This window comes from Homo sapiens, chromosome 3 (genome assembly GCF_000001405.40).
Source record: "Homo sapiens chromosome 3, GRCh38.p14 Primary Assembly".
In the NCBI taxonomy this organism is placed as follows: domain Eukaryota; kingdom Metazoa; phylum Chordata; class Mammalia; order Primates; family Hominidae; genus Homo; species Homo sapiens.
Genome location: NC_000003.12, coordinates 45,773,867 through 45,792,384, shown reverse-complemented (window position 1 = coordinate 45,792,384; position 18,518 = coordinate 45,773,867). Strand labels below are relative to the sequence as shown.

At 48.1% G+C, this 18,518-nt stretch overlaps 1 protein-coding gene across 9 annotated transcripts in view; it reads left to right on the top strand.

Annotated features, from left to right (window-relative positions):
• SLC6A20 (solute carrier family 6 member 20) overlaps positions 1-18,518 on the top strand; it is a 41,088-nt gene that overhangs the window by 4,152 nt on the left and 18,418 nt on the right. For 7 of the 9 annotated variants that reach the window (NR_176012.1, NR_176011.1, NM_001406069.1 and 4 more), the window contains exons 2-4: positions 10,162-10,302; positions 12,285-12,376; positions 16,397-16,624. Coding sequence is in view for 7 of the 9 variants with exons in the window: in NM_001406069.1 (NP_001392998.1) it covers positions 10,162-10,302; positions 12,285-12,376; positions 16,397-16,624 (461 nt within the window). In the remaining 2 variants the exon portion in view is untranslated. Of the gene's footprint in view, positions 1-10,161; positions 10,303-11,300; positions 11,996-12,284; positions 12,377-16,396; positions 16,625-18,518 lie in introns of those variants that run through there. The other 2 variants (XM_011533847.3, NM_001406067.1) reach the window with 2 other exon arrangements.

Here is an 18,518-nt window from a genome sequence, read left to right as displayed (position 1 = left end):
TTACAGATAGGAAACAAGTCAGAGAGAACAAGACTTCTGGAGAAATAGCTGGGGCTCAAGTCACTTCTGTGACAAGCCAGGGCTCTCTCCCCAGCACCCTGCACTCATCTGCTACAGGCAGGACAGGACTCCTCAGGTGTCCAGGCCTTTCTAGGACCCCCAAATAAGAATTGCCGTGGCTCAGGGTACTTCTTCCTGTGGTTCTCCTGTGACACTCACCCATGGCTCACCTTGACATTGGAGGAGGGCCTGGCCAGGAGCCTGTGCGATGTCCACCTGCAAGGATCCCTTGTCCCTTCTGTTCTAACCTCCTCTCCACCTCTGCCCTTCCCTGAATATACCTCAAAATGTTTGGCATCTTCCCAGTGTGCTCTTCATCCTCTCCAGGAAACCTCCTCCCTAAATTAAAGGTGACTTCTTCCACAAAGCCCTCCTTTGATCCCCGGGCTAAATCCATCTGATATGAGTTTGGTCCCCACCCAAATCTCATGTCAAATTGTAATCCCAATGTTGGAGGTGGGGTCTGGTGGGAGGTGATTGGATCATGAGGTAAATTTCCCCTTTGGTGCTGTTCTCGTGATAGTGAGTTATCAGTGAGATCTGGTTATTTAAAAGTATGTAGCAGCTTCCTACTCTCTCTCTTCCTCCTGCTCCAGTCATGTAAGACGTGCCTACTTCCCCTTCACCTTCTTCCAAAATTGCAAGTTTCCTGAGGCCTCCCCAGCCATGCTTCCTGTACAGCCTGTGGAACTGTGAGCCAATTAAACTTCTTTCCTTTATAAATTACCCAGTTTGAGGTATTTCTTTACAGCAGTGTGAGAACAGACTGATACACCATCCCTCCTGTGCCTGTTGCATTGTGGGGTCTGACATGTCTCACTCCCACTTGGTAGGGAGGAAAAGTGACCAGTCAGGAACATAGAGTCTGCCTACTGGTGGAGAAGCCTCTATTTGTCTGTGTGTTGGAATCAGCCCATAGCTTTAAAAAATACTGATGCTTCTGTCCTATCCCCAGAAATCCTGATTGGATTGGTCTCAGATGTGGCCTAAACAGGAGTTTTACACTCCCCAGAGGGCTCTACTGTGCAACCCAGGTTGAGAATCACTACCTTACAAACAATATATAATATAAACCTTCTAGGCAATTTAAGTCATTCAGTAAATATTCACTGAGTATCTTCTGCAAGCCAGGGACTACGCTGACGGAAGTTTACAAATATGGTGATTATAGGGTACAGGGGTTGGGGGTGGACCAAGCAGGAAAAGCTTTAACAAAGCACTGTTCAGAGGCTTCGCTGAAATAACTCAAGAAGGACTAACTGCTCAAGAGGATCTAGAAAGCCTTCCAGCAATGGCAACATTTAATAGCAGCTGTGAAAGAGAAGTCAAAGCTCATCATGTAGAATTAGGGGTGAAAATATTCCAGGCAGAAGAAACTGTATGCAAAAGGCACAGAAAAGCACACATTTGAGGGAAATGGCCAGAAACCCCAGGTGGCTGTGAGAAGTGAGGCGGGGACTAGGGCAATGGCAGGAGAGGAAACTGGAGATGAAAAAGGAGTCAGCATGTCCCTAAGGGCCCCAAATAACAGGCTAAGAAGGTGGAGCTTAGCTCTGACAGCAAAGCCAGATTTTAAGCAGGGAAGTGGCACAGTCAGAGCTGTGGTTTACAGAGATTGCCAGCATGGAGGCCAAGGATGCACTGGGTAGCTGGAGAAGGGGTGATGCTGCCCGAGGGGATGAGCAAGGAGAGCAGAGAACAGATGGGAGGGAATTCTAGGAGGTTTAAACCAGTGACAGTCAGGAAGAGTAAAGACGGCTTTAATTTTTCTCACCTGTGCCCTTGTTCTTGGTTTTCAAAAGGTTGACTGGGTTTGACTCCAAATGGGAAACTTTTGGGGGAAGACCAAGATGGAGGCGAGTGAATGAAGAGAAGGAAGGCGCTGGGGTGGAGAGTCTCACAGAATAGAGCAGTGGTTCCCAAAGTGGAACCCCCAGGCCAGCAGCTTCAGCATCCCCTGGTGTGCTCGGTGTTCCTTACATTAAACATTACATTAAACATTGTGTATATGCACACACATACACAAGCACACACATGCCCCAGAAAGAAAAAAAAAAGGTTTACAAAAAATCCCTGCTGTGTTTTTTGTTTGTTTGTTTGTTTTTGTTGTTGTTGTTTTTGGAAAAAAAGATATGTAAGTGGAGGGAGAGAAAGAGTTTGGACACCTGAGTAAGCTTTCCCATGAAAGGCACTGACTCGGGCGGGCATCTCTGTGGCCCTCAAAGGAGACAGATTATGATGTGAGGGCTTGCAGTGATACATTTCATACAGAAAGGAATGTCTCTTCTAGTGAGATTCTTAGGTTTAGCAAATAGACAACGTACTGGCTATGATAATTAGAAAAATAAGCAACAACATGCTCTAGAATAACATATGGTGTGAGTTTGGGGGTTATAAATGTAATGAGTGTTCATCGTAGAAATTGTGTAAAAGGGCCGGGTGTGGAGGCTCATGCCTGTAATCCCAGCACTTTGGGAGGCCGAGGCAGGAGGATCACTTGAGCTCAGGAGTTCAAGATCAGCCTGAGCAATATAGTGAGACCTCATCTCTACTAAAAATATAAAAGTTAGGAAAAAATTCTGTAAAATGCAGAAATATACAAATAATAAAATACGAAATCACCAGAAATTCCACCACCCAGAGGTAATGACTGTTAACATTTTTGCTGTAAAAAATTAGAACCATATTTTTATATGTGACTTGGTATTTTGCTTTTTCAAAATTAACTTATTTTAATCCTTTCCAAAATCATGTAATATTTTTTGAAAATATAAGCTTAAATAGCTCCATAATATTCCATTTACAGAGGTAACATAACTTACTTAACCATTCTCCAGTTGTGGAAGTTTAAGTCACGTAAAGTTTTATGCTGTTATAATCCAGTGGTCCTCATGTTTTAGTGGAGGAATTTGATCCGTTTATATTTATTATCAGGTTATGTTTGCTGTTATTTTTCATCACATTTCGTACTGCCTTACTTTTCCTTTTTGTTAGTTATTATTGTTGGATTTTGTTTTGATCTTTTACATTATGAAGTATATATTCTTCACTTTTTTTCTCAAGTGATTTAGAAGGTATAATTCCTATTTTTTCTATTAGCAGTTAATTTAAATTTGAGGGGAAAGTATACTTATTTTCTCTAGTTATCACTGTCAAGAATGAAATGTCATCTGTTGATATCACCCTATGAAAGAAAAAAATTTTAGCACACTTGTACTTCTTGCTTCTTTCCTCACCCCCATTCCAGTTAACAACTTTTGTTGATATAATCTAGGATTTCAGACACATTATGATGATTATTTTACTCTTTATATTTTGTTTCTTCTCATTCAGAAATTACATTTTCCATTTGTATAACTTTACAATGATATTAACAGTATGATTTTCAGACTTGATTCTGTTTTGTTGGTTTATTTACCACTAGTTAGTTCTACTATAACACAACCCCATATCTGAGTTCCTTATTTTGATCCAACACTGGTTGGATGCAGTTCATGAGCACTTAAGTTTTTCAGGAATAGTAAATAGGTGGTTCGCTTTCTCAGCATGTCTGAGAACATCTGTCCTTTGTAGCCACATGAGTTAGCTACAATGTTTTTTACTCAAAAATCTATAGATGCTTTTCTGTTGTTTTCAGATTTTCATTTCTGCAAAGGAGAACTCTGCAGCCAATTTTATTTTTTATTAGTTATTAGGTATCATGGACCTAGAATATTACATAAATTTATATGGTATTATGTGAATCTTATAATTTCTGAAAGATCACAGGCTATATGTCTAAGTATTAAATGTTTTCATCAAGTTAACCTAGGACTAGTGAGTGCTTTCAATGTACACAACTGGGAAAATGACTTGTAGAATTTGTGATTGTACTTTTCTACCAGTTGTGTCTGCAGTGTTCTTTCTGCAGGCACAACTGCTGAAACTGAGTAACGCTTATTAGACATAGAGTAGCGCTTGGGTTTGCTGTCCATGTCTCTTCTCTTCTTGTAATCTCCATCTCTTTATCCTTTTCTTCTGAGCTGTGGGATAGCTTTCTTTTTCTTTTTTATCATTTTTTTTTTTTTTTGGAAACAGGGTATCACCAAGAGCCAGTATGGATCTCCCCTAGCAAAAAATATGGCAGGACCAGGTGCAGTGGTTCACTGGTTCACCCTGTAATGTCAGCTTAGGCAACATAGTGAGACCCCATCTCTACAAAAAATTGAAAATTAGTCAGGCACAGTGATGCATGCCTTTGGGCCCAGCCACTCACGGGGGCTGAGGCAGCAGGATTGCTTGAGCCTGGGAGGTCGAGGCTGCAGTGAGCCGTGATCGCACCACTGCACTCCAGCCTGGGCAACAGAGCGAGACCCTATCCAAAGTTATTCCACAGTTCAGAAGAACAGGATAAAGAGATGGAGATTACAAGAAGAGAAAACACATGGACAGCAAGCCCAAGCATTACGCTATACACCACAGTAGAGCCAGTTACTCAACAAACATTTACTGAGCACCTACTCTGTGCCAGGTCCTTCCTTAGGAGCTAGAGATCAACTATGAGCCATGCAGATCCCATCTCTACCCTCAAGGAGCTGACTGTTTAGGAGTTGGAGGTGTGGACAGAGCAGTAGACATTCAGTGTAGCGGCAGGTGCCTCAACAACAGGGGCTTGCAAGACAAGAGGGTGGGTCTTAGTTTTGAGTGATCTGGTGACACTTGGAGGAAGTGATGCATCTGGAAGATCCAGTGAGACCCTAAGGATTCTTTCCTGCATTCAACAAATATTCAATGGACTCTGGCTCTCTGCCCAGTGCTGTTCTAAGCAGAGCAGAGAACAAGAGGAGAGCTTCCTTGCTAGTAGAGAGGCAGACACCAAGTAAACAAAGAAAATTATAGCATTATTCACATAGGGAAATGTTCAGAAGGTAAATCAAGCAGGGTAAGGAGTCCAAGATGGCAAGAAGGCTGTTCTAGTGAGGGTGGACAGAGAAGGCGGCTCTGGGGAAGCCAAGTCTGGGCAGAGCACTGAAAGAAGAGAGAAAGCATCCTGGGCAGGAGGAACAGCAAGAACCAAGGTGCTGAGGCCAGACCAGCAGGAAGGCCAGTGTGACTGCAGTGGATGGAGAGAGGCCAGCGGCAGGGAAGGGAAGGTGGGAGCCCTGTTCCCCAAGCCTCAGAGGTCAAGGGAGGGAGTATGGGTTTGATTCCAGGTGGAAGGAGGAGCCAAGGAAGATTTGACCAGGTGAGAAGCTAGGGATGGAAAAGGCAGGTGTGTCACAATCTGAGAACAAACTGCAGGGAGGGGACTGGAGGGTGGAATCACAAAGACCTGCCTGGAGGGCGGTGCAGTGGAGATGTGACAGTGGGTGCCAGGGAGGTGGTGATGAGTAAGGATTCACCAGGCTGAGCTGAGTCTACATCTTCCAATAATTCTGTGACTGTAAGCGTCCCACTCATCTGGGGTAATATGGACTCACAGTGGCAGAGACATTACCACAGGGCTCAATGTGTGCCTCAGTTACCTATTTATTCATAACAAACCACTTGAAAACTCCAGGACTTAGAAGGAATGATGGAATTAGGAAATCGCCATCTGGCAACCAGTGTGGCAATAATCGTTTTGGGCAAAAATCTTCACTGGATGCCAAAACTACTGGGCAAAAGTATGAGAAATAGGATAGTTACTGAGGCTCAGAATATCTCCAAGAAGATAATTATTTCTAAGGGGAGAATAGTAACTCTCAGCAGAGAAATCCAGCAGACACCACCTCAACCAAGTGAGCAAAATCTACATCACCGTGAATGGAACACATTGACATCTTGTGCCTCTGGACAAGGACACAGGATAACTTTAGTGTTTCTGCCAAAACTCCAAATGAGGGACATTCCACAAAGTAACTGGCCAGTGCTCCTCTAAAGCACTGTGAAAGGTCATGAAAGACAAAGAAAGGCAAAAATGTCTAAGGAGGTGTCCCAGATTAAAGGAGACTAAAGAAACCTGACAGCTAGAGGCCTTGTGGGCTTGTGAGCTAGAGTCTGGATGCCTAGAGGACATCAGTGGGACAGTCAAGAAAATTGCAAAAGGGCTGCAGATAAAATAATAGTTTGATGTTGGTGTTAATTCCCTGATTTTACTCATTGCACTGGGATTATATAAGATAATGTTCTTGTTTTTGGAAATACACACTGAAAATATTGAGAGGTAAAAAGAAAAAAAATTAGTGACTTAAAGCAACAATAATTAATCATTTCTCACAGTTCTGTGGGTGCCTGAGCTGTTCCTTTACTGTTTGTGTCTGGCCTTGCTCATGCAGCCAGAAGGTCCCTCACACACCTGGTAGTGGGTGCTGAGCTGGCTGGTCTCCCTCGGTTCTCCTCCTCGTGGCCTCTCATCCTCTGGAGCCTGGTCTGGTATCTGTACATGGCTGTCTCAGGCACACTCCAAGAGAAGGAAGGTGAAGCTGCAAGGCATCCTGAGGCCTGGGCTCTGGTACCAACATGGACACCACATTCTACTGGACAAAGCCAGCCCCAAGGCCAGCCCAGCCTCACAGTGTGGGGAATAGACTCCACCTCTTCAGGGGAGGAGCGCTGAAGAATGTGTGGCTGTATTTAATCTCCACACATGCCTTTAAGGCATGTAGTTGTATTACTACTGTATTAGGGTTCCCTAGAGGGACAGAACTAATAGGGGGAAGAGAGAGAGAGAGAGAGAGAGAGAGAGAGAGAAAGGGGAGTTTATTAAGTATTAACTCACATGATTACAAGGTCCCACAATAGGCTGTCTGCAAGCTGAGGATCAAGGAAAGCCAGTCTGAGTCCCAAAACTGAAGAACTTGCAGTCCGATGTTCAACGGCAGGAAGCATCCAGCACGGGAGAAAGATGTAGGCTGAGAGGCTAAGCCAGGCTCACCTTTTCACTTTTTTCTGCCTGCTTTATATTCACTGTCAGCTGATCAGATTGGGTCCACCAGATTAAGGGTGGGTCTGCCTTTCCCAGCCCACTAACTCAAATGTTAATCTCCTTTGGCAACACCCTCACAGACACACCCAGGATCAATACTTTGCATCCCTTTATCCAATCAATTTGACACTCAGTATTAGCCATCACAACTACCACCAAAATCATGCCCCTTGTAGTCAACCCCTTCCTACTCCCCTACTCCTGGCCACCACCAACCTGTTTTCTGTCCCTATAGTTTTGCCTTTTCCAGAATGTCATATAAATGGAATCATCCTACTATGGTTTGAATATGTCCTCCAAAGCTCATGTGTTGAAAACTTAGTTTCCAATGCAATAGGGTTGAGAAGTGGGACCATTAAGAGGTGATTAGGTCATGAGGACTCTGGCCTTGTCAATGGATTGGTATCATTATCCCAGGAGTGTTTTTGTTATTGAGAGAGTGGGTTTGTTATAAAAGAGAGTTCAGCCCCCTCTTGCTCCCTCTTGCTCCCTTTGCTCCCTCTTGCCCTCCCACCTCCTGCCATGGGATGATGCAGTAAGAAGGCCCTCTCCAGATACTAGCACCATGCTCTTGGACTTCCCAGCCTCCAGAACCATGAGCCAATAAATTTCTGTTCTTTGTAAATTATCCAGTCTCTGGTATTCTGTTATAGCAGCACAGACTAAGACAGGCATTCTTTGGTGAAATGCCTGTTCACATTTTTTTTTTACATTTTTTGAAAGGGTTATTTTTCTTATTGAGTTTTGAGAATCCTTTATATATTCTTGGCACAAAGTTTTTCTCAAGATGCGTGTTTTGCAAGTATTTTCTCCCAGTCTATAGTTTTTGTTTTTATTCTCTTAACAGTGTCTTTCACAAAGAAGTAACGAAATCCAATTTCTCAATCTTTTCTTCCATAGATAGTGCTTTTAACATTGTATTTAAGAAATCTTTGCCTCAAACTCAAGTTCATAAAGGTTTTCTCCTGTATTCTTATATAAGTTTTATAGCTTTTAGTTGTTCATATAGGCCTGTAATCCATTCTGAGATTTGTTTGTTATAAAATTTGAGATATGGGTTGAGTTTCATTTTTCTGCATATGAATGTTCAATTGTTCTAGCATCATTTCTTGAAAAATTTATTGCAGAGCAAATTCACCCAGATTATGTGTTTATTTGATAGGTTGGGTCAGGAGTGACAGAAATGATTAATGCCTAGGGCCAAACAGCCCCCATGTTCCCACTTGGCATCAGGTTTTAGATTTCCACCCTACCCATGGGCACTGGGCAGTCAGACCCTGTCAGAGAGACAGTCGTCCCTGGACCTTGCCAGGCCTTACATAGTTACTGTTTAACACCCCGCGTAAAAACAGGATTATCTTATAACCACTGAGGGTTTGAATGTGGCTTCAAAGTCTCAGTGTGTGAACCCAATCTTTATTGTCAGATATTTCATGATTGAGAGCCACCAATGACCTCTTGGACTCCTTTGATATTGAGAGAAAACTCACAAGGTGCTGAAACAAGGTTCTGAAGGAAAGGAAGGGAGCCTGGCCTAGAGGAGTTATAGCAGTGTCTGGACATGAGAGGGCAGGATTTGTTCTAGGCCCCCACATGAGCAGGATGAAGCTAGGAACTCCAAGCCTGGTGGTGTGGGCACTCATCCACCCATGCAAGCGGCTCATGCCTTTCTTTCTGTGGTGTGGCCATGGGGGCTCTGCCTGGTCTTTGCCCCAGCCATTCCACTTCTGGGATTTGTATCCCAAGGAAATACACAAACAAGTGGACCAGGCTTCATTTCACAGCTTTGTTTAGGATGGCAGAAAGCTGGAAACAGCCTGAGTGTCTAACAATTGATTAAATGCATTCTGGGCTCATTTTCAGAGCAGAACATCATGCAGCTCTTTAAGGGGTGATGCAAAGGTCTGTGATTGGGAGAGTGCCTGGGGAATGCCATAGGGTGAGAAGAGTGGGTTACAGCACAGCACGTGTGTACAATGGAGACATTTTTGGTAAATATTAGATGTTCATGTAAGCATAGTTATTTTGTTGTTTACCTTAACAACTGAGGATCCAGTTTGCTCTGTAATCAGCCCTTAATCTTTGCAGTTGTAGTGTCTGGGTTTTATTTGATCAGAAGTCCTGCCCTCTTTTCCCACTGGACATTTTGTTAGGCTCACCCTGACAAAATTCACACTCCCTGGCTCCCCACCATCACCAACAGCAGGGAACCTCAAGGGCAGGGAGCAGAGTTGCTACTCTCCCATTCCACACCAGCCAGGGGCTGGCCCAGAGTAAGTGCTTAGTAAGTGTCTGTTTCATACACTACCTCATGTGGAGCACCATCAGGGCTGTGCACAAAGCCCAAAGGAAGTGCATAGAGGTGGACAGCTGAATGCATGGATCCAGGCATGATGTCTGACATATTTAACAACACAATTGTCTTGGCCCTGATCAACTATTAGTTGCTGAAATAGAAGATGGAATGTGGGGTTTGGCAGAAGGGCTGGGACAGTGGAGGCATTGAGAAAGGCATTCAAGCAGCTTGGGACAGTGGCAGTTTGCCTCCCAGCGAGGATGAATTTAAAGAGTTCAACAACTGACATGGCTGCATGTCATCCACAGATGGATGGACGAACAGACAGGTGGCTGAGTAGGAAGATAAAAAGATGAAAGGATGGATGTAAGGATGCATGGAAGGATGGACAGATGAATGGATGGAAGGATGGATGGATGGTTGGATGGATGGATGGATGGATGGATGGATGGATGGATGGAAATATGGAAATACGGATGGATGAATGGAAGGTTGGAAATATAGATGGATGGAAGGAAGGAAGGATGGATGGATGTAGGGTGGATAGATGGAAGGATGGAAAGATAGACAGAAGAACGGATGGATGAATGGATGGTTGGATGGAAGGATGGATAGAAAGTGGGTGAATGAATAGTAGATAGATAGATGAGAGGAATGGCAGCAAGAGGGATGGATGAAAATGTGGAATGAAAGAAGGATGAAGGATGAGTAGAAAGAGGAGGATGGATGATGGAAAGGTAGGAGAATGCATGGACAAGTAGAAAGACAGGAGGATGGAAGGATGTTTGCACAGAGGTTGAGTGGTCGTGGAGAAAAGCCTTTTGGTGGTGGCCTGGCTCTCAGCTCTGGACATCCACAGGTAGTTTCCTGGTCCCCTACATCATCATGCTTATCGTGGAGGGAATGCCGCTCTTGTACCTGGAACTGGCTGTGGGGCAGCGCATGCGGCAGGGCAGCATCGGCGCCTGGAGGACCATCAGCCCGTACCTCAGTGGTGTCGGTACGTGGGGCCCCTCCAGTCCTCTCCCACCCAGAGACCCGGGCAGCATGGGGGTGTGGGTGGGATCCCATCAGCAAAGCTGCTGGATCAAGGGGCGAGCACAAGGCCCAAGAGAGAGCTCTTGCCTGGGGTGAACAAATGGCCTGGTGGGGATGACATAGAATGTGGGCTGAGAGGAGCTGGGTTTCCTACCCACAGGGCGGTAAGACAGGGAGGATGCATGCCCCTTGGGGAACAGATGCCACCCTCCTTCTCTTCTCTGGACCTCAGCTTGGTCACCTGTAAAAGGGAAACAGCTGTAACTCCAAGTCCTAGCTAACAACCATTCTGGAAACTCACCAACTTCTCCCTGCTAAATAACAGCTCTCTTTTAGCAAGCACCTACTACATGCTGGGAGCCAGCCTATAGGATATATGTGCATGAGCTCATTTAATCTTCTTTACACCGCTGAGGTGTTGTGGAGTGCCATTAATGTCTCTGGGGTGCGGAAGCTGAGGCCCGCACGGACAGCAGGAGAGGACTGTTTCATCTCATGCTTCTCCTGAGTGACCTTGAGCCAGAGCCCCAGGCACTTCCAGGACAACCTCCACCTGCCCTGCACATTGCTTATGACCCAGGGCTGCCTCTGCATGCAGAAGGAACCCTGACCAGAAGTAGCCATAGCCTGTGATGCTCACCCCTCCCACCCCAGAAAGGAAGGCAGGCAGGAAAGCAGAGTGACGTTTCAGGAGCAAAGAGGGTGGAAGCTTATATGTGACCTGGTTGCAGATGCAGAAGAAATGTGTCCAGTGTTCTCACAAATCATCTCCAAACCCAGACTGCCTCCTTGTCTTGAATGGCTATTAATTTTTTTTTTTTTTTGAGGCGGAGTTTCGCTCTTATTGCCCAGGCTGGAGTGCAATGGCACAATCTCGGCTCACTGCAACCTCCACTCCCGGATTCAACCGTTTCTCCTGCCTCAGCCTCCTGATGAGCTGGAATTACAGGCACCCGCCACCACACCTGGCTAATTTTTTGTATTTTTAGTAGAGATGGGGTTTCGCTAGGCTATTAATTTTTAACACAGAAGTGTGTAGTTTTACAATCTGCCTGAATAAGCAATCACAGAGGACTTCTCAGAGGCATCTTCTGCATCATAGGAAAGATACCAGATATTTGTGCCAACCAGGGGATGCTGGTGAATATTTAACAACCAGTGCTCAGAGTGGAGTGGGGGTGGGGAGGGGAAGCCCTGGTTTATAGCATTTGCGGATGCCTATGGGGTAAATACAGGCACCATGGCCGGTTTCTACTACCGAGTGTCCCAGCACTTGCGGCTGGGGAGAGGAGGGGACGCTGGTTCTCAAGGGCTGGTGTGGGCCAGCCCCAGAGCCCTGCTGCCTCCCACCCCTCTCTGTGCTCTCAGGCCGCACCCTGGGTTTTGTGCAGGCCTGACCGAATTACGGGCAGCCCCCTCCCCACCGCCTCCTCACACCCCCTCTCCTGGCTACCAGGTGACTCAACCGCTGGTGAGCCAAGGAGGGAGCATAACTGTACATCTGGACAAGGTAGCACTTCACAGCAACAGTGCTTCTCACAGCATGAGGTTGTGAACCCAGTTCTGCCACTTAACAGCCGGGTAGTCTTGGGCAGGCTCCAGGCCTCAGTTTTCTCTTCTGCGATATGAAGATAATACTGTTGTAAGGACCAAAGGTAAATAAAGTACTTATTTAGCACAGTGCCTGGCAGTTAGATCTCAAAAACATGTCATCAGCCTCCTGTCCCAGAAGGTGAGGAGGGAGGTTGGAGAAAAAGAAATCACCCTTCCCAAGTGTTCACAGGTGCCTGGTCTCGCTTAATACTCACCACACAAACCTGGTGGAGGGAGGCCTCGCCCACCCCGGGGCGGTCGCCACAGGTGTGTCCTGGGAGCACACGCTGGGCCTGGCGGAGGGGGAAGGGCCATCCTCAGTCCTCAGCGCGGCCCTCTGCTTCCTCGCAGGGGTCGCCAGCGTGGTGGTCTCTTTCTTCCTCTCCATGTACTACAACGTCATCAACGCCTGGGCCTTCTGGTACCTCTTCCACTCCTTCCAGGTGAGCCGGGGGGCCCGTGCCAGAACAGGAGTAGGAGCGAGAAAGGGAGAGAAAAACAGGGCCACCCGCTCGGGGAAGGGGGTGTGGGGCAAGGTGAGCAGCCTCGGGGCGGGGAGCCGGTGGGTGGTGTGAGGTGGAGGGGAAGCCATGCACCCCAAACCACGTGAAGGGCTTCTGAACCCGGGCTCCACGGGCCCCTTACGCTGTAAGCAAGAGTCCACCGGTGAGAGTGTGCGTGTTCTTGGAGAGAAGGTCCATGGCTTTCAGTGGATTCTCTCTGATGGATGTGACCCCACACACACACTATTAAGAACTACTGCACAGTGTGCCTAGGAGGAAATCTGTGGAGAGGACTGGTGGGGAGGGATTCCCTCAATCCAGCAAGACAGCAACGGCCTGTCCTCTTCCTCCCCGTCCCCTTCTCCCGCTTTCCTCAGGGCCACTCGTGCTTCCAGGTTTCTGACTCCAGCCTGAGCCTCTTCTTTTCCCTGCAGACCCCTAAGTTCTCCTAGAAGGACCATTGTCACCCTGTAACACAATAGGGCCATTCCTAAACATTTTAAACCACACATTTCTGATGATAACTACAGCTGACACTCTGTAGAAAAGTGGAAGGGGCTAGAATTGTAGAGAAGCAAGAACTCCAATTCCACACAGAGAGCTGGTGTACATTCAGGACAAGAGGAATTTTCCTTTCCACTGCTCATGCTCATTTCTGTTACCTGGCTCCTACCGTTTCACTCTCAGGAACCCCATCCTCCACTGCCCCCACCTGCTTCCAGGAACCACCTTCACCTTGGCTTCTTCCCAGTTGGGAACAGTGGAGGAGGCAGGAGCTAACCAGGCCAATGCCTTACCCTTTGCCCCTGAGCCAGGCCTTCATGGGACATGCCTGTCCCCAAGGTCCGCAAGCAAGATAGGGCTGGCATGGACTATGGACTGAACTGGGTTTGCCTCTGGGGTGCTTGGGCATAGCCTTGACTCTGTGGGGGCGTGAGGAATGCTTGGGTGAATGACTTTAATAATCCTGATTTGGCATACCCCACTCTGGCTTCCCAATGAGCTCCACCAAGCTTGCCCCATTGCACGTATCTCTGGCAAGAAAGCTGTAACCTGAGCTTAGTTGCAGTCCCTCCTTCTTTCCCTGGTTCAACCTAGAGTTTCATGAACACTGGCCACAACTCTGCCTCTCCCCAGCCTTCTCAGTGGAAACAGGGCAACTCTTCTTACTCTATAGCCTGGTGACTGTTTCCTGTCCTCTGTGCAGGGCTCATGTATGGTTGGGCAGCTTGTGCACTGCACAACAGTACTGCCAACTAAGGGCTTGCCATACACATTGTAAGCATTATAGATTTGTATACTTATTAAGACAAGTTTCCAAAAGTGGAAGTAATGTGTCTTGTCCTAACAAAATCAGAATAATTTGCTCATCCCCCAAAAGCAAAAATAAAGTGCCTCAAGAAAGGGGCATCTTTTTCTAATAGTCAGAAGTATGGGGGCCAGCGATTCATGAAAATCACTTAAATATTCATTCATTCCATCCTTCATAGGTCTGTGGACTTATCCCTTAGTCCCTCTACTTTGAAGCCCTCCTCCATGGTCCCATAATAATGAGAGGAATAGTAGCTGCAGACATTCACTTACATGTGCTTTGGGCCAGACATAGGTCCCAGCACTTTAGAAGTGTTCACTCATGTAATCAAAACAGCCACCCCACGAGGCTGAGCACACTGAGCACCCGAGCAGAGGGGAGCCGAGTAGCTCATAGCTGGTGGGGTTGGACTCAGGGACCTGGCCCCGGAGTCTGTGCTCCTGTCTACTCACTCCCTGGCCAGGCTTTCCAGCCTTGTGTCCAGCCCTTCTCAGCAGGAGCACCTGGGCTGTTATGCACACAAATGCGGGGATCCTTGTCCTCACCTGCTGGTTCAGAGGTGAGTGAGGGAGGTCAGACTGGGAACTGGCCCATTTAACAAGTTCTCCTATACGCTAAACCTTCTTCAACCTGGCTGCACACTGGGGAGATGAAGTTGCGGGGTGCGGGGTGCAGGGTGGGGAGGTGTGAAAAATCCAATGACCAGGCCCTATCCCAAACAGATGAAATCAGAGTCACTGGGGGTGCAGCCTGGGCATCACCCCCGGGTGCCTTAGTCGTGTAGCCAAGCCTGGGAAGCAGGCCCGGTCTGGCATCAGCAGGTAGTCCAGGGAACAGACTCAGGTCAGTCCCACACAGGCTGTAAATGGCCCAAGGGGATGTCAGCCTAGGCAGCTCAACTGGGCTTCAGGTCTACCAGGACCCCTGTCACCTGCCTGGGACTTGGTGCTGGCTGCCACTGGGCACCTCAGTTCCCTCCACGTGCCTCCCTCTCCCTGCACCCGCATCATTCAGGAAGCTAGCCTGGATGTCCCACAGCTGGTCTCCAAGAGGGTGAGAGGCTAGCTACAGGGTTCTGAAGTCCTGGGCCGGGAAGTCACTCACACAGCATCTCTTCACCATATTCAGTTGGTCAGCTTGCATCGGAGGACAGCCCAGACTCACAGGCTGAGGCAAGAGACACCACTTCTGGATGGGAGAAATGTGCACATGGGAAGGGGAAGGACTGTTGGTGGCCAGCTTTGAACACGATATGGGTCAAAGCAAGAAACCAGCTCACACATTCCAATAGGCTAGGGTGGCCTGGGGAGGTATTGCAGGGGTGGGCGTGGAGGTCCTCACCAGGACAGTCCTGAGCACTGTCTGGGTGTGCAGACCTGGGCTCCAGCTGCCTACTGGCACAGTAGCCATGACCCATTAGGTGATACCCCGGGCCTTGGTTCTGTCTCCTGTGAAATATGGGATTGAGCCCAGTGGGGTGGTCAGACTTGCTTCCATTAATGATGCGTTTTTGTCTAATTAAATCTGGGCTTGTAGAACCCAGATATGTGCAAAACTGATCAATGTGGGGCTGGTCCTCAAAGAGCAGGGTTGGGGTCTCCTACCCCACAGTCAGAAGTAACTTTTCCTCCCCTCCCTCCCATCTCAGCACCACTGTTTACCACTTGGCCTCGGGTCATGGTCATGATGCATGCACCATTGAGGCTCCTTTGTTCATAAGTGACACGCCAGCAGCCTCCTATGGGGGCACACCTGGAGCCTTCTCTTTTCTCACTAACAAGCTTTCCCAATCCCCGCCTGCCTTGGAGCCCCGCCAAATGCAAGCGATGCTGCTATCGCCCTTGCTGTAGCAAGTCCTAAGTAAACAGCCTCTGCTTGTTCTCACTTGGGTGGTCTTTGCTGATTTCCTCAAGTCCTGAGATGCGTAAGTCTCAGGTTCTGTGCTCACTAAGTGCTGGTGGCGAATGGCATTTCCTGCAATGTACATTGGGTTTGGAAGCTAGCAGGAGATGAGGTTCAGGCCCCACAGCTGTCCTGCATGTCTGAGCCCGAGAGAACCTGGTGCTGGTGACTTCTTTGAGCTAGAGTCAAGCTATACCTGAAGCAGTTAGACTCCTGGACTTTGCAGGGTGGAGCCAGTAAGACTCTCATCTGCTTAAGCTACTCTGAACTGGGCTCTCTGTCACTTTCTCTGGTTGGTTCTGAGTTGGCCAAAAAATAGGGACTCTCTCAATCATTGACCAAGTCCTAAGCAATCTGGGCCAGTGCTGCAGAGGGTGTGGTTTAAGTGCCTGAGCTGATTGTGCACAGGCCGTGGGTCGGAGTTCCATCATCAGGGCTGGCCTGGCTGTGGTCCATTTGCTATTCAGTCTCTGGGACCCACCACAGAGTTCAGTAGTCCTCAAGGAACACCCGTAGAATTGCAACGAGAGTAGAGCCCCCTCCTCCAACCCCTTCCTGCCTCACCCGTGCCCCCTGACAAACTCTCCAACTCCCAGTCTGCCTTCAGGGGCTCCAGCCACCTGCCCTTCGGGGACCAGCACCCTTCTCTTCCAAGAGTCTCCGCTCAGGGCCACCTCCCTCACCCCTGCCACAGCCTTTGTCCTCAGCCTTCACCTCCCTGGATAACACTTGCTTTGGTCCCACAGGATCCCCTGCCGTGGTCTGTCTGCCCACTGAATGGTAACCACACGGGCTACGATGAGGAGTGTGAGAAGGCGTCCTCCACACAGTACTTCTGGTACAGGAAAACCCTCAATATCTCGCCGTCCCTCCAGGAGAACGGGGGTGTGCAGTGGGAGCCGGCGCTGTGCCTCCTCCTGGCCTGGCTGGTGGTGTACCTGTGCATCCTGCGTGGCACCGAGTCCACTGGCAAGGTGGGACAGTGAGGCACAGAAGCCCGGTGCTCCTGGTGGGTGGGAGGGTGCACCAAGGGGCAGCTGCCTCTGTCTCCAACCCTAGGCAATGCCAAGGGAGTGCCCTCTGCAGTGGAAAGGCAGCAGCTATGTTAGGGCAGAGGGCACAGATGGTGTTGCTGGGACAAGTCACCTACTAGATGACTATAGAGAGGGCCAGAGATGGTTAAAGTTGCAACCCTAAATCTCAAAACAAGGACTTTCTTAGAAAAAAAAAGTTTTTCTGTAGCAGTCAGCCCCAAATCCATACCACCCAGACAACCAGACAGTGAGTTTGCTTTTCTTTAAGATTGTATGTATCCTCGAGACACCCTAGCCACTGGCTCTCCAACTCAGCTGCACATTGGTATTTTCTGGAGAGTTTTCAAAAATCTCATGCCTTAGCCCCGCCCCCCAAAATTCTGCAGTAACCAGTCTGGGGTGTGTCCTGAGCACTGGGTGGGGAGGCAGGGGAGGTTTAAAAGCTCGCCAGGTGATTCTAATTTGCAGCTGAGTTTGAGACCCTTTGTTCTAAGCTGCTTCCAATCACCCTCCAGAGCTGTCGGGCTTGATCTCCATAATCCTTTCTTGGTGCATCCCAAGGCTCACACTTTCACTGGGGCTGACATGTTCCTTCATCTCTAGTCTGCTCCACGTAGAAGGTTTGCTTTCAGTGTTCCCATCACCCGCCACCTGCCTGAAGCTTCAGCAGATGTCTCGGAGCCTAGCACACCCTGTCTCATTCACTGTCACTTCTCACAGTAGACCCACCACGGCTTGAGCACCCACATTGTGTCATTCTGGCAACAGCCTTTCATGGTAGATTTCATGATCCCAGTTACCTGAAGCTTAGAGAGGTAAATTGACCTGCCCAAGGGCACAGCTAGTGAGGGCAAAGCCCAGCCTCACCCCAAGACTTCCCATTGTCTTGGTTTGGTAGCCACATAGCTCTCTCTATGCCTTAATGATGTCATCAATTCCAACTGTCACCTGCTGAGAGTCCTAGGAGCCCACCTGTCCTCACCCTCTGACTACCTGAGTTGTCTCCTCCAGCCACACCCCACCCCCCATGTATTTCTTGAGGCATTAGACCAGAGCTACCCATGGTATTCCAGGGCCCATGGGACAACTCCAGTATCATGCCTGGTAGGGCATTTTATTTTGGTTTCTAAGAGCCCCTGATGACCAGCCTCTTAGCCCCCAAAGTCCCCTGTGCCATGGCTGAGGAAAGGGACGAGTGAGCACAGGTGCTCTTTCCCCGAGAGAGCTTAGAACCTGCAGCAGCCCACTCAGTCCCATCGTAGAGCCTGGCCATACTGTCATGCTCATAAAAAATGTTTTTGTAATTTATGTTTGCCAGATTATTATGATCATGATCCAAGAGATCAGAGGGCAACATCTGCAGAGGTAGAGATTAGAGACCATTCCTTTTCCCAATCACTTTGAAATGTGTTGCATAAGACCATGTCATGCCATAAAAACTTATTTATTCTTATCATCTATTTCCTCTGCTTCAGCTACACCCTTCTCCCTGGGAAAAGTACCCCAACAGCTCTATGTAAATAGAGCTAATCTTGTCACAGACCATGTGCCATTTCCTGGCATCCTCTGTTGGAATCGACTTTGTTTCCTGCCAGAATCTCTGCAGAGTGGTCAGAATTGGTTTCTTCCAATAGATTAGGCTGGATCACGTGTCCAGCAATTCTGCCCACTTAGGGACTCCATGAGCCTCCAGGAAACTTGCTCACCTTGGGGGAAGGAGGGAAATTCTCGGGGCTGGCCCTAAGGGCCTGCTTAGTGCCCATTGTGATGGATGTTGGTCACGAGTGAGTGCTCTGTCTTTTCATCTCTCTTACCTGGTTTCTTATAATCTTGG